We start from the raw sequence: 15,883 nt of genomic DNA on the forward strand, positions 1-15,883 counted from the left end.
ATTTTTGTACATTGATTTTGTATCCTGCAAAATTTGTATCATTCGGAAGGATACAAAGGACTTTGTATCCTTGGCTGAAGTTATCAGCTGGAGGAGCTTTTGGGCTGAGACTATGGGGTTTTCTATATATAGAATTACGTCATCTGCAAACAGAAATAGTTTGTCTTCCTCTCATCCTATCTGGATGCCCTGTATTTGTTTCTCTTGCCTGATTGCTCTGGCTGGGACTTCTAATACTATGTTGAATAGAAGTGGTGAGAGAAGTCATCCTTGTCTTGTGCTGGTTTTCAAGGGGAGTGCTTCCAGCTTTTGCCCATTCAGTATAATGTTGGCTGTGGGTTTGTCATAGATGGCTCTTATTATTTTGAGGTATGTTCCTTTAATACCTAGTTAATTGATAATTTTTAACATGAAGGGTTGTTGAATTTTATTGGAAGCCTTTTCTGCTCTATTGAGGTAATTATGTAGTTTTTGTCTTTAGTTCTGTTTATGTGATGAATCACATTTATTGATTTGCAAATGTTGAACAGACCTTGCATTCTGGGGATGAAGCCTACTTGATCATGGTGGATTAGCTTTTTGATGTGCCGATTGATTTGGTTTGCAAGTATTTTGTTGAGGATTTTGACATTAATGTTTGTCAAGGATATTGGCCTAAAGTTTTCTTTTTCTGTTGTGTTTCTGCCAGGTTTTGATATAAAGATGAGGCTGCCCTCATAGAATTAGTTGGGGAGGAGTTCCTCCTCAGTTTTTTGGAATAGCTTTTCTGTAGGAATGGTACCATCTCTTATTTGTACATCTGATAGCATTCAGCTGTGAATCCATCAGGTCCCAGGCTTTTTTTGGTTGATAAACTATTTATTACTGATTCAATTTCGGAGGTTGTTATTGGTCTATGCAGGGAATCAATTTATTCCTGGCTCAGTCTTCGGAGGTTGTATATGTCTAGGAATTTATCTCTCTTCTAGGTTTTCTGGTTTGTGTGCATGGAAGTGTTCATAGTAGTTTCTCATGGTTGTTTTTATTTCTGTGGGTTCAGTAGTAACATTCCCTTCATCATTTCTAATTGTGTTTATTTGGCTCTCCTCTCTTTTCTTCTTTATTAGTCTAGCTAGTGGCTTGTCTATTAATTTTTTCAAAAACCCAACTCCTGGATTCTGATTTTTTGTTGTTGTTGTTGTTGTTTTAATTTAATTTAATTAATTTTTTTTTTTTTTTGAGATGGAGTCACTGTGTTGTCCAGGCTGGAGTGCAGTGGCACGATCTCGGTTCTCTGCAGCCTCCACCTCCCAGGTTCAAGCAATTCTCCTGCCTCAGCCTCCCAAGTAGCTGGGACTAGGCAGTCACGTGCCGTGACACCCAGCTAATTTTTGTATTTTTAGTAGAGACAGTGTTTCACTATGTTGGCCAGGCTGGTCTTGAACTCCTGACCTCAGGTGATCTGCCCACCTCGGCCTCCCAAAGTGCTGGGATTACAGGCGTGAGCCATCATATCATGCCCAGCCTCATTGATCTTTTGGAAGGTTTTTTGTGTCTCAGTTTTCTTCAGCTCAGCTCTAATTTTTGTTATTTCTCATCTTATTCTAGCTTTTGGGTTGTAAATCAGAATTTTCATTAGAGGTTGCAAAATGACGTTTTTCTGTTCTACATTATTAGCTAGTATTCTTCCATAATGTAGAGCTTCTCATCAACTGGGCTGCTTAGTGCATTTCTACTGAAGAGGCAGGAATGTACTTGATCCTTCCTTTTACTAAGTTTCAAAGTGAAGAGCTGTTTAAAATTGCAGTTTCAAGTGGTAACAAATGAGTTTTTTCAGTCTTTTTTTAAATAGCATTGTGGATCTATGGATTTTTTATTCAGTGTTTTAATCTTTTACAATCCCTACTTTTGATTTTCAAATTGCCGTGACTTTGACGAGTTGTGGGCAAATTTTTACTATAAAAATCTGAAGCACATGAGATTTCTGAACTAGAGATAGAAATTTAAGAGTTGTCAATGCATAAGTAGTGGCTCAAGTCACAGGAGTAAATGAAACTGCCAAAGGAGGATATAGGGTGGAAAACTAAGCAGCGCAGGTTAGCAACTTCCAGCATTTATAGGAAGAATCCTTACATATGGATTTATGAGTTGTTTTATTGAATTTTTTTCTCCAGTGTTTCACAAATTGTTTTATGAAATGACCAGAAATTACCAATTATCCTGATTGCTTTTTTCCCGAACCTGTTAATATTTGCTTCTTTCTATTTTGATTTATTGTTTTTGAACTTGAATTCTATCCAGCCCCTCAAGAATGTTAACTTATCTTTATGTTGAATATGCACAGTTGCAGTAAAAATTATTCTTTTTTTTTTTTTTTTTTTTGAGACAGAGTTTCACTCTTGTTGCCCAGGCTGGAGTACAATGGTGCAATCTCGGCTCACTGCAACCTCTGCCTCCCGGGTTCAAGCAGTTCTCCTGCCTCAGCCTCCCGAGTAGCTGGGATTACAGGCACACACCACCACGCCCAGCTAATTTTTTGTGTTTTTAGTAGAGACAGAGTGTTGCCATGTTGGCCAGGCTAGTCTTGAACTCCTGACCTCACATGATCCACCTGCCTCGGCCTCCCAAACTGCTGGTATTACAGGCATGAGCCACCGCGCCTGCCCTAAAAATTATTCTTTTAGGATAAGAAATGAAAAAAAATTTAACATTTTAGTATTAATTAAGAAATTCCTTGGGAGGCCGAGGTGGGCGGATCATGAGGTCAGGAGATCGAGACCATCCTAGCTAACACGGTGAAACCCCGTCTCTACTAAAAATACAAAAAATTAGCTGGGCATGGTGGCATGCGCCTGTAGTCCCAGCTACTTGGGAGGCTGAGGCAGGAGAATCACTTGAACCCAGGAAGTGGGGGTTGCAGTGAGCCGAGATCACACCACTGCACTCCAGCCTAGGTGACAGAGTGAGACTCTGTCTCAAAAAAGAAAAAAAAAAAGCAATTCCTAGAAAGCTAGATCAAAACCACCCATGCTGGTAGCACATACATAGTAAGTATAGGAGGTAAAAAAAATACGTTATATTCGGGACTATTACTGACTTGTTTTTTTGCTCAAAAAATGTTCCTTTTATAAACTAAAACCTTTATTGGTAATATAAAATTTTTTGTCACTGATATAAGATGCTAATATTTATCCATTTTCTGTTGGACATCTTTTAACAGACGTTTTCTACATATAAAAAGTATATCATATTACTAACATAGCAATGTTAGGTAAAAATGTCATTTGAATTTGAATTTTTATGGTATTTTAGTAAATAGGATTGATGGTAAATATTGAATGATATGATGACAGTGGTGGCAATAAAACCCAGTACCTTCATTGCACCAGACTGGAAACCTAGGTTCAGTTTCCAGTGAACTTGCCAGTTTTTAAAAAGCATCACTAATATCTCTTCATATCTCAAAGAAGGAATATAATATTGTTTGATGATAATAAAACTATATATTTTTATATCTCTTAAAAATTATATATTTATTTGATCAACCTGATATTTGGGAATTTAATACCATGTGCCTTGGAAATTTTTAGTACTCCATTGGAATAATGAAATAACAAAGTACTTTTAGTAACAAATTTCATCCACATATCATAAATAACCACAGGCTATTTTGACTCCTTATAGTCACTGTTGGAGGCCCATGATATTGTGGCATCAAAGTGTTATGATTCACCTCCATCAAGCCCAGAAATGAATAATTCTTCTATCAATAATCAGTTATTACCAGTAGATGCCATTCGTATTCTTGGTATTCACAAAAGAGCTGGGGAACCACTGGTGAGTACAGATAAATCAGTACCCTATTAAATCTGAAATATGACATAATTTGTGGTTCAGTCACTACTCTGTTTCATTTTTTTTCCTTTTCATAATGTTATGAAAACTGTATTCTTGTTTGGCCTGTGTATAAAGACACAGCTGATGCTTTCTCAACTTGGTTTAGCCTGCAAAATTTAACTAAAATGAAAAGTTAAACTGAGCTAGAAGTAGAAATATGGCAAGGGGTAGCAAAAAATTTCAGAAGATGACTATTATGTTTCTTCCTACCCTTTGAAGACATGAACTACCCTTTGAAGAAATACTGACAGTATCAAAATATAAAAAGAAGTTGTTATTAAAAATTGAAGCCATACTAGGACTCTCTAAGTAGTGAAGTTTACTATTCCTTGGTAAAATTATTACTTCTGGATCCTGACTATAAGAACAGTGAGTGCAAAAAAGGAAAAGCCAGGAATAAGTCCATCAGAATGCACAAATACCTTTTCCTGCTCTCTCGAGTTTCCATTTAGCCTGTAAGATACATCCTATCCACTAGTGTAATAAACTATACTAGTACACAGTTTAATGGGAGTGAAATATTGAGACAGGAGAGAACATGGGAAAAGTAAGAATGATTCATTTTACCTAGTTTTAGAATTATTTTCTTACATATGCTCATGAATATTTAAGCATTTCTCCCTAATAATTAATGAGAAATCTGTTTCTTATTTTTCATAGGGTGTGACATTTAGGGTTGAAAATAATGATCTGGTAATTGCCCGAATCCTCCATGGGGGAATGATAGATCGACAAGGTCTACTTCATGTGGGAGATATAATTAAAGAAGTCAATGGCCATGAGGTTGGAAATAATCCAAAGGAATTACAAGAATTACTGAAAAATATTAGTGGAAGTGTCACCCTAAAAATCTTACCAAGTTATAGAGATACCATTACTCCTCAACAGGTTAGTAATAAAATTTTTGGTAGTATTAAAAATACTTTCATGTTTTTAATCACAGTGTTGGAAATAACTATCAGTTGCTACTATTTTGCTAAAGAAAAGAGAAAAAATTGATTTGAGTGTTCTGAAATGGCTTATTTTGTCATGGGTGAATTTTTGAATTTTTAAACAATGCTATTTTACTATTGTAAAGGAAATAGTAGATTTCTTCATTAACACCAGGAACCCTGGCATAATAGTAACCTACAGCTAGGTATCAGAAGAACCATAAAGTCTTTGAATTACTAATCTAGTAAACATTTCTGACAGCTGTTATGTTCAGGCATTGTATTAGGCCCTGGGAGAGGATAAAAATGCAGTCCAGATCACCTCCAGCTTAGTGTTTGTGTCATGGGTGAAATGACTGATGAGGCCAGAAAAGAGGATGGGTATAAAGAAAATCTTGGACCCCTGGTTTGCACACATTTGATCTGTATTTTAAAACTAATTTTAGGTAAACTAGGTAATTGAACGGGAAAATGTTTTAGTTATAGAGATTGTCTAGACTCGGTATGTTAAGTGAATTCAAAAAGAAGAGAGATGAGATTATGTAACCAGGTGGCAGATTTTTGAAGGTGTGAGGTGATTTGTGAACAACAGCTCTAATGAATGGTTAAGATGACCACTTAGGTTCAAATACCAGTGCTGCCAGTTATCAGCTTACCTTCTCTGTGCTTCATTTTTCTCATCTATATAGTTAGGGATAAAATTTGTTTTCTCAAAAGATTGTTATGAGGATTAAACGAGTTAATTCATGTAATGCTCTCACAGCAACACCTGGCACATAATGAGTGCTCAAGAAGTGGCTGCACTTGCTGTGGTGATGACGCAGTAGTGGTGAAATGGAACCGTAAAGAAAGAAAAAGAAATTGCGGAGGAAGAATTGAAAATTATGATAGGAGTGTTGGAACCAAAGAGAGGGTTTTCAAGCCTAAGTAATGTAGAAGTAGATGCCTCTAATGCTTAGGTTTATTCCAGAAATTTATTGTTTGATGTATGAATGAAATTATAAGTTTTCTTACATAAGATACTGCCAGTGTATCTTATTTCATATTGTTAAAATGAGAGTTTAAAAGTCTAGTTCTTACATTTCCATACAGTTATTTGAAATAACATTTCATTGAATGTCTATTTTAAACTGTTCTTTCAAAGGTAAGGATAGATTATTTAGTCATTAATATTAGCATGTAAATTGAACTTATGAAAATAGATAGGCTTGTAATTAACTTTGGTTGAAATGAAGGTAGTTTTGTGGTCCTCAAGGAAAAGAATTGTGAAAAATAAATGATATTAGTACTTAGACATTTCATATCACTAGTACCTCTCAGGCTACCTTTATTCCTCAGTTGGCAACTTTCAATTTGTGACAGCCTGAGGCCTTATCTTGGACCTGCGTACGCTGGAAGAGTAAAATCTAGGATTTACGTATTTTATTTATTATTATGTGTTAGTTGTAGTAGGAAGATCTTATTTTCCTTCTGTGGTCTAAACTCCAGAATTCTTCTAGCTCACCATGGCTATAAGAGACTTTTACAGGCAAAATAAAATTTTATAATATTAATAACTAGGGCTTTGGCCCAAATTCCTACATAGATTTTGCATCTGGTGAACTAACTGAATACCATGAAATGCAAGGACATTTAGCCTTGTTTAAACATAAGTTTTCCACATTCCATACCCTCTCAAACTCTGCTTTTCACTTAGCATTTAGAGCTGGGGAAATGAATTCAAGTAGGAGAGGAGGAGTCTTATAAGTCCGAGGTAGCCTGAGGCGTGTCCTCCCATAAAGAAGTAAAGAAACTATAACATGAAGGCTTCCAAAAGAACATCCAAATTGAGACTTTTTTTTTTTTAAATGAAAAGGGGAACATTACTCATATGCTGGAATAATAGGCATAAACCAGGGCATCTGCAAACCATGGGCATCCTACTGAGATGCTATAGGGAAGCAAGGGCATTTTGCGTCTTCAACTCTTTCACTAAAATCTCCACCATGTAGTGCTGTGGAGCTAGTCTCAGCTCTGGATTGCTGCAAGAGCAAATGAAAGCCAAGAACTCTTCCCTACCACGGTAATGTTTTTCAAAAGCATAGTCAGTAGATGATCTTTATCAGAATCGTTTCAGGTGCTTGGTAAAAGTCCAGAATCTGCTATGGGACATAAGTATCTATGTTTTAAATTTTGAGGGCCAGAGTGAGTTAGAAGTAGCCAATTCTGAAGTTCTTCAACTTTCTTATAGCTTAGATTTCCGGGGGCTATTCGTAATTCCATTTGTTTATTAAGGCCAACTGATAGGAATTCTCTCTTATTCTTTGGAACCAACATGACCTGGACAACTAGAAACAATATAAGAAAATATATTACAGGACTGTTTCATTCAAGGATATACATTAAAAATTCTCAACAAAATATTAGCAAATCAGATTTGATTGTGTATATAACAAAGATGATACAACATATCCAAGTTAGATTTATTATCCCAGGTATGCTAGGAGAGTTTCATATTAGAAAATCCATATGTATGTAACTAAGCACATTACCAGATGAAAAGAGAATAACCTCAATGGAGAATTTGATAAAATTCAATGATTTTTAAAAAATGATTAGTAAATTAGGAACAGAAGGGAAAAGCCTTAATTTTATTACAAAAAAAAAAAATAGAACAAACATTATTCTGAATTAACTAATGTTAGAAGCTTTCCCTTTAAAGTCAGAAACTGGCCTTGCAGCTGGTCTGCCTGAGACCTCTAGTGCCAACCCCAATACCCCACGAAGTTTAATTTCCACTCACGAAATTCCACTTTCGTTTTCATTATAAAATGAAAAAGCCCTCACAAACCATGAAAAACTTGCCAGATTTCAAGCACAATTGTGCACTGGTAAAAAGGAACTGCCCTCAGATGATACAGCAAACATTATCTGTTAAAACAGATGATAAAAAAAATCTTCAGTTTTCCTGAAAGAAAGTAGAAATAGGCAATATCTCTGATACTAAAGAGGTATGTCTGCAAACCAAGGAATGGTGATCTTCATTAACAATCCCAGTGTTCAGACATCTCTAGCAGCGAACACTTTGACCATTACCAGACATGCTGAGACAAAGCAGCTAACAGAAATGCCACCCAGTGTCTTAAACCAGCTTGGTGTCAACAAGCTTAAGGAAACTGGCAGAAGCTGGATGGAAAAGTACCACTTACTATTGGGGAAGTGGTGATCTTGTTCAGAATTTTGATGAAGCTTCCAACAGTGAGGCAAACTGAATTGATTCAGCTTCTAAAAAATAATACAATTTCAAGAATTTTAACTGCTTTTAAAATTTTTGTTTTATATATGATAAAATGTAAGTCTATAAATTCCAAGACCCTTGGACACTGCTTTTTAATTATTGATTATATACAGTTATTTATTGGCAATTAATTAGCCAGAAAATAGTTTAAAACAAAGATAAAGCCTTTGCCTAGTTAAAAAAAAAAAAAGAAACTAGAGAAGGATGCTCACTAGCACCACTTATATTTAATATTTTCTTGAAGGATCCATAAGTACAGTATGACAAAAATAAATTATACAAGCAAAATGTTTGGAAAGGAGGCAATAAAACTTATTTACAAATATGATCATGTTTTTGCATAGAAACCCCTCAAAACTACAACTTATTAGAAATAATAGAGTTTACCAAGGTACCTGAAAATAAGATGAAGACACAAAACTCAATTGCATTTCTGTATGTCATCAGCAAACGTCTAGAAATGTAACTATGACATCATTTATAGTAGAGTCAGAGAATGTCACATTTATGTCTAGGAATAAATTAACCAAAAAAATTCAAGACCTCTACACAAAGGAATTATGAAGAGGATCTAAATAAGCAGGTATATCATGTCATGGACAGGAAGACAATATTGTGAAGATGTTGATTTTTCACTCATTAACTTGTAGATTTAATGGAATTCCAGTCAAAACAGGGTTTTCCATGGAATTTGATAAGATGAATAGCCAAGACACTTTTGAATCAGAAAAGCAGGAATGGGGTCTGATTATTAATATGTAGGAATTAAGATATTGTGATGTTGGCATAGGAAGAGACAGCATGATCAATGGACTTTTAGAGAGCTCAGAAAGAGACCTACACATACATATTACTTTGATATGTGACAGAGATAATGTTTTTCAATGTGGAAAGGAGATGATGCAATGAATGGGGGGAACCTGGTTATTCTAGGGATACTGTTTGAAATTGTGTTTCACTCTACACAGAAAAATCAAGTAAAAGGGGACATGTGTTCAGTAAACATATAAAGATATATTGAAAATCATAATGTGATATACCATTAAGTTGGTAAAAATTATAGCTGTGAATCAACAGCATCTTTTCTACATTGCTGGTGGCAGTGTGTATTGGTATAAACACATTGGGGAGAAAAGTTTAATGTCTCTTAGAGTTAAATATTCACATATATCAAGCTGCAGTAATTCCCTAGAGCAATTCTTACGTATGTACAGCTGGAAACATGTTAATAAGCATATAAACCCCAAAAGATTACATGCATATAGCATGATACTATTTTTTTACGTTTAAAATAACTATATAAAGAGTACGTATAGATGCAGTAGAACTATAATCAAAATGTAAAGCAAGGAGTTTGTGAACCCAGGATTCAGGGTGAAGTGTGCCTTGGTTGGGGAAACCGAATGATGGGATGGGATGGAATGAGGGCAGGAGAATCAAGTAGGATTTTAATGTTAGTTTTAGGTGGCAAGTGCATAGCTGTCTATTATATTATTAAAACTAATTGAATCGACAAAAGCAGTCCTTGCACGAACCAGTGATATAAACTTAAGAATTATGATTAGTATAATTTTGGCCTAGGTTAGTAGTTAGTAGATTTTTTTTTTTTTTTTTTTTTTTTGAGATAGAGTCTAGCTCTGTCACCCAGGTTGGAGTGCAGTGGCGTGATCTTGGCTCACTGCAGCAGCGTGATCTTGGCTCACTGCAGCCTCCACCGCCCGGGTTCAAGTAATTTTCCTGCCTCAGCCTTCCAAGAAGCTGGGACTACAGGTGTGTGCCACCATGCCTGGCTAATTTTTATATGATTTTTAAAATAAAATTTTTTATTTGGCTGAGGCTTCAATTTGTGGCCCTCAGGTATTTATCAGAAAGGAACGTGGATTGCCCTTCAAAACTTTTTTAACCAAACATACCTTCTTGTTATCTTGCTGTTATCAAAAATGTGTGTGTACATCTGTATTTAACGAAGTAGACCAAGTTCGTACACTGAAAATTTTTAGAAAAAGAGCATCCTTCCTTGATCATCTCAGCTAGTGTCATGGAAAATCTCTTAGCAATGATAATCACTTTGTTCACCATCTTGTCACTCACTCTGAAATGCAGATTCAGATGGGCCTGGAACTATGGTTTAAGAAGTAGGTTCAATAAGCAACATTTGCACCATGTTTAGCCAACACATTCCCAAATGAATTACTAGCCACCTTCTGATTTAACATCAGGGTCAAGGTGGAGCTGTTTTTCTAGCCGTTTCATCCATTTAATTTTTCTCCCACTAATTATTGTCATTTGCATAAGCATAGTGTATTCCTGTGCAATATTTCCTCAATACTTTTACTGTTTTTATCTTTACTTTTAAAAATATCCTTGAGATAAAGTTTATATAAATAACATAAAGTGTACAATTTGATACATGTGGACATACATAATATACCCATGAAGTCAACACAATTGAGATGATGAACACTCCCAGAAATTTATTTGTGTCCATTTCTTTCTCTTTTTTTTTGAGACAGGGCCTCACTCTGTCACCCAGGCTGGAGTGCAGTGACATGATCACAGCTCACTGCAGCCTCAGCCTCCCAGGGCTCAGATAATCCTTCTACCTCAGCCTTCTGAGTAGCTGGGACCACAGGCATGCACCACCACACCCGGCTAATATTTGTATTTTTTCTTTTTTTTTGTAGAGACAGGGTTTCGCTACATTGTCTAGGCTGTCTTGAACTCCTGTGCTCAAGCGATCTGCCTGCCTCAGCCTGCTAAAGTGCTAGGATTACCGGCATAAGCCATTGCTCCCGGCCTCCCAGCTTCTTTGTGTCCACTTCTCATTCTTCCCTCCTACTCCCTTTCTCTCTACCACCCCTGACTCCAGGCAGCTACTGCTCTGCTTTTTGTCACTTTAAATTATTTTGCATTTTCCTTATTTTTATATAAATGGAATACCTGTATTCTTTTTTGGATTTTGTTTGATTCGTTTGTTTAGCTTCCCTCACTCAGCATAGTTGTTTGGAGATTCATTCATGTTATGTATATTGATAGTTCATTTCTTTTTATTGACAAGTGATATTCCATTGCATGGCTGTACCACAGTTTGTTTATCCATTACCTGGCTGATGAACATTTTTTTGTTACCAGTATGGGGCTTTTACAAATAAAGCTGCTATGGACATTTACATGTAAGTCTCTTGAGTATATACCAGGGGTTGAAGGATTGAGTCATATGGTAGGTATATGTTGTACTTTTGAAGAAATGACTAAACCGTTTTCAAAAGTTAGTATAACAACTTAAATTTCCACCAACATTATATGAAAGTTCCAATTACTCTACATTTTGGGCAACATGTGGTATGGTCAGTCTTTAAAATTTTAGCCATTCTAATAGTGTGTAGTGGTATCTCACTGTGATTTTAATTTGCATTTTCCTAATAACTAATAATATTGAACATGTTTTTATGTGTTTATTTGCCATACTTCTGTGCACTTTGGCGAAGTGTCTTCAAATATTTTGTCCATTTTTTGTTGAATTGTTTTTCTTAGTTTTGAGTATTCTTTATGTATTCATTATACAAGTGCTTCATCAGAATTGGGATTTGCCAGGACTTTCTTCCAGTCTCTATCTTGTCTTTTCATTCTCTTAACAATGTCATTCAAAGAGCAGAAGTTCTGAATTTTGATGAAATCCAATTTATGATTTTTTTTCTTTGAGTCATCCTTTTGTGGCTTTAAGAAGTCCTTGTATAACCTAAGGTCATGAAGATTTTCTCCAATTTGTTTTCTACAAGTTTTACAGTTCTATCTATGCTGTACCTCTGAGTCTATGATACGTGTACTGTATGTTAATTTTTATATAGGATGTGAGGAAAGGATCAGAGTTTATATTTTGCATATGAATATTCAATTTTTCCAGCTCAGTTTGTTGAAAAGACTATTTCTTTCATCAAATTTAGAAAAACTTTGACAATAATTTCTTCAGACATTTTTTTCTATTTTTCTGTTTCTCCTGTCCTTTGGTGACTGTAGTTACATGTATATTAGGCCCATTGAAGTTGTCCCATGGGTCACTGATTAGTTCATTTATTTCAGCCTTTTTTCTCTGTATTTTTCATGTTGGATGTTTTCTATTGTTTTGTTTTCAAGTTTACTAATCTTTTCTTTTGCAATGTCTAATCTGCTATTAATCACACCTAGTGGGTATTTTTCATCTCAGATATTTTGGCTTTCATTTCTAGAAGTTCAGATTGGGTCTTTTTTATATCTGCATGTGTTTAATAGACTTAATCCTTCCTATAGTTTCTTGAACCATGAATATAATATGTAAAGTTGAAACAATTACTGTAATGTCCTTTTCTACTAATTCTAGCACATTTGACATTTCTGGGTCATTCTTCATTGATTTTTCTCCTTGTTATAGGTTATTTCCTCCCTCTTTGCGTGCTTGGCCATTTTGATTGGCTGCCAGGCATCAAAAATTTTACCTTGTTGGGTGCTGGATATTTTTGTATTAGAAATATTCTTTTTTTTTCTTCCAACTTTTTTTTTTTTTTTGAGACAGAGTCTCGCTCTGTTGCCAGGCTGGAGTGCAGTGGCACGATCTCGGCTCACTGCAACCCCCACCTCCTGGGTTCAAGTGATTCTCCTGCCTGAGCCTCCCAAGTAGCTGGGACTACAGGCACGTGCCACCAGGCCAAGCTAATTTTTTTTTTTTTAGTAGAGACAGGGTTTCATCACGTTGGCCAGGATGGTCTCGATCTCTTGATCTCGTGATCCATCTGCGTCAGCCTCCCAAAGTGCTGGGATTGCAGGTGTGAGCCACTGCACCCGGCCCTTCCAACTTCTAGGTTCAAGGGGTATGTGTACAGGTCTGTTACATGGATAAATTGCATGTTTCTGGAGTGTAGTGCACAAATGATTTTGTCACCCAGGTAGTGAGCATGATACCTGATAGGTAGTTTTTCAGTCCTCACCCTCCTCTTATCCTCTGCCTTCAAGTAAGCCCCAGGGTCTGTTGTTCCCCTCTTTGTGTCGATATGTACTCAATGTTTAGCACCCACTTACAAGTGAGAACATGCAATAATCTGGTTTTCTGTTCCTGCATTAATTGGCTTAAGATAATGGCCTCCAGCTATGTCCATGTTGCTTAAAGGACATTTTATTCTTTTTATGGCTGCATAGTATTCCATGATGTATATGTACCAAATTTTCTTTATCCAGTCCACCATTATTGGGCGCCTAGGTTGATTTCATATCTTTGCTGTTGTGAAAAGTGCTATGATGAACATATGTGTACATGTGTCTTTATGGTAGAATGATATATATTCCTTTGGGTATGTACCCAGTAATGGGATTGCTGGGTCAAATGATAGTTCCGTTTTAAGTTCTTTGAGAAATCTCCAAAGTGCTTTCCACAGTGGCTGAACTAATTTACATGTCCACTAGCGGTTCCCTTTTCTCTGCAACTTTGCCAACATCTGTTATTTTTTGACATTTTAGTAATAACCATTCTTAACCTTTGTTCTAGGATACAGATGATTCTTTTAAATCTTGCTTTTTAAGGTTTATTAGGTATGATTGCAGGATGTAGTTTAGCTCATAACCCTTCTAAGTATTGTACCCCACCTCCTGTGAATTACGAAGGTTTTTCCACTTGGCCTGGTGAGAACAGAAACTATTCTTGACCGTATACAACTTCTATATATAGTTCCCTGTAATGCTTTCAAATGATTCTTTACCATCATTGAGGAAAGAGCTACACAGAGAGAGGATGCAGGTAGCTTCCTCATACACATGCATTGATTAAGTACTCAGTTGAAAACAGAGGGAGTCCCTCACAATTCTCTCTCTGTGCAGCCTTTCCTCACTGATACTGTATTCCATGCACTGTAACCACCTTGATCTCCCAGGTCTCCCAGTTCATCTCCTCAACTTAGAGACCATCAGGCTTCACCTTTCTCCCTTCCTGATTTGCAGCCTGGAAACCCTCTCTGCAGTTAGCTGGGGCAATTGTGCAGCTCATCTTGTTTCTTCCATCTTTTAGGATCACTATCTTCATTGCCTGATCTCGGACATCTTGAAAGACATTGTTTCACATATTTTGTCAACATAGTTTTTAGTTGTTTCATGTTGGAGGGTCCTTGTTACTTCATCTGAATCCAAATGGGAGTGATTTATCTTTATTACCTTAAAATTTTAATTTTTATATAGGTGAATCATTCCCATGGTTTGAAAATCAAAAAATGTAATATGTATTCAGTTGAGATCTCCCTCTGAATCCTTCCCACTACCAACCTAGTCCTCATCCCCCCACCAGTAACAAACTTTGCTATTAATTTATCTTTCCAGAATTTCTTCATTCATATGCAAGTAAATAAAAATTACATATCCTTTTTCACCTTTCACCTCCTTTTTCATAGAAAGGTTGCATAGTACACATGCTATTCTGAACCTTATTTTTTTTCACTTAACCATCTGTCTTGAGGATATTTCCTTATTGGTGCATACACTTCCTATTGACAAACACACACACACACACACTTTTTTAACGACTATATATAGTGCCACATCATGTAGACCTACCATCATTTGTTTCACCAGTTCCTTTTTGTTAAACAATTAGGTTGCTTCCAATCTTTTGTTATTAGGAATGATGTAGTCTTGTGCATAAGTCATTTTGGATGTATCTGCATAACATAGCTGTTGAATACATTCCCAGACATGGATTACTAGGTCAGAGGGTTTATGCGTTTGTAATCTTGACAGCTATTGCCAAATTGTCCTCCCAAGAGGTTGAACCATTCTTCCACAAGCCTATTAGGAAAATGCCTATTAACCCACAGTTCTTTTGTAGAATGTTATAAAATACAAGGATTTCTGCTAATCTGATAGGAAAAAATGTTATAAAGTAGTTTTAATTTGTATTTCTACTCTGAGTGAGGTTGTTGAACATCTCCTATGCTTAAAAGCCATTTGTACTTCCTTTTCTTTGTACTTTAAATCATTTTGGTCATTCAGTTCTTTTTAGTAATAAGAATATGAAATAGAAATATTTTAGTAGGTGGTGTTTAGTTAATGATGAATGAACAGTTAACATCCATAGCCTATAAGTGCAACACTTTAAATTGCATTTAATAAAATATAATTATACTAAATCTAGTCATATCTTTAATGGTTTTAGAGTCATTACAAAATGGTTAGATCAAAGGTTGGGTTGATTTTTCAGACAAATTTTCAAAGTTCAAAGTAAAATCAGGTTAATCTGAGTTTTTGACCATAACAGTAATGTTCTAAAACTACTTTAATTAATGAAAAAAAAAAAATAAATTGTTCTATAAATCTTTTACCTTTGAGAGATGTGGTTTGTATTCCACAGATAATGGCATTTCCATAACAATTTGACAGATGTTGGAGGAATGAATATTTGAAATTTGGACTATCTTGTAAAGTCTGAGCTTTATGGTTACAAAATATATTCTGTTCCACACATAAGAATGGTAATCACATTCATGGTTAGATGACAGGATTCTCTTGCTATTCTTCAATCACTGCATCTTTCTTGAGAAGTAAGGAGTATGCAGGTATTTTTATAACTTTGCATACCAATCCTTTTTCTCTGCCTGATCTCAAATACCTTTAACTTTTTGTTCTATCATTTATAACTTGCAGGTATTATACTTTGTGGACAATTAATTAGGGAGGTAGTTGCCTTACCAAATGAGTGAAGTAATAAAATGGTCTAGTAGTTTGTTTATATTTTCTTAATTTATTATAAATTAAAAGTCTGGCTTTATTTATGCAATTACAAATA

General features: G+C 35.6%; 1 protein-coding gene across 9 annotated transcripts in view; it reads left to right on the top strand.

Moving 5' to 3' along the window:
- PALS2 (protein associated with LIN7 2, MAGUK p55 family member) overlaps positions 1-15,883 on the top strand; it is a 120,742-nt gene that overhangs the window by 72,497 nt on the left and 32,362 nt on the right. For all 9 annotated transcript variants that reach the window (NM_016447.4, XM_011515425.3, NM_001303037.2 and 6 more), the window contains 2 exons: positions 3,664-3,816; positions 4,537-4,764. In NM_016447.4, coding sequence (NP_057531.2) covers positions 3,664-3,816; positions 4,537-4,764 — 381 coding nt within the window. The remainder of the gene's footprint in view (positions 1-3,663; positions 3,817-4,536; positions 4,765-15,883) is intronic.

Source organism: Homo sapiens, chromosome 7, assembly GCF_000001405.40.
Source record: "Homo sapiens chromosome 7, GRCh38.p14 Primary Assembly".
Taxonomy (NCBI): domain Eukaryota; kingdom Metazoa; phylum Chordata; class Mammalia; order Primates; family Hominidae; genus Homo; species Homo sapiens.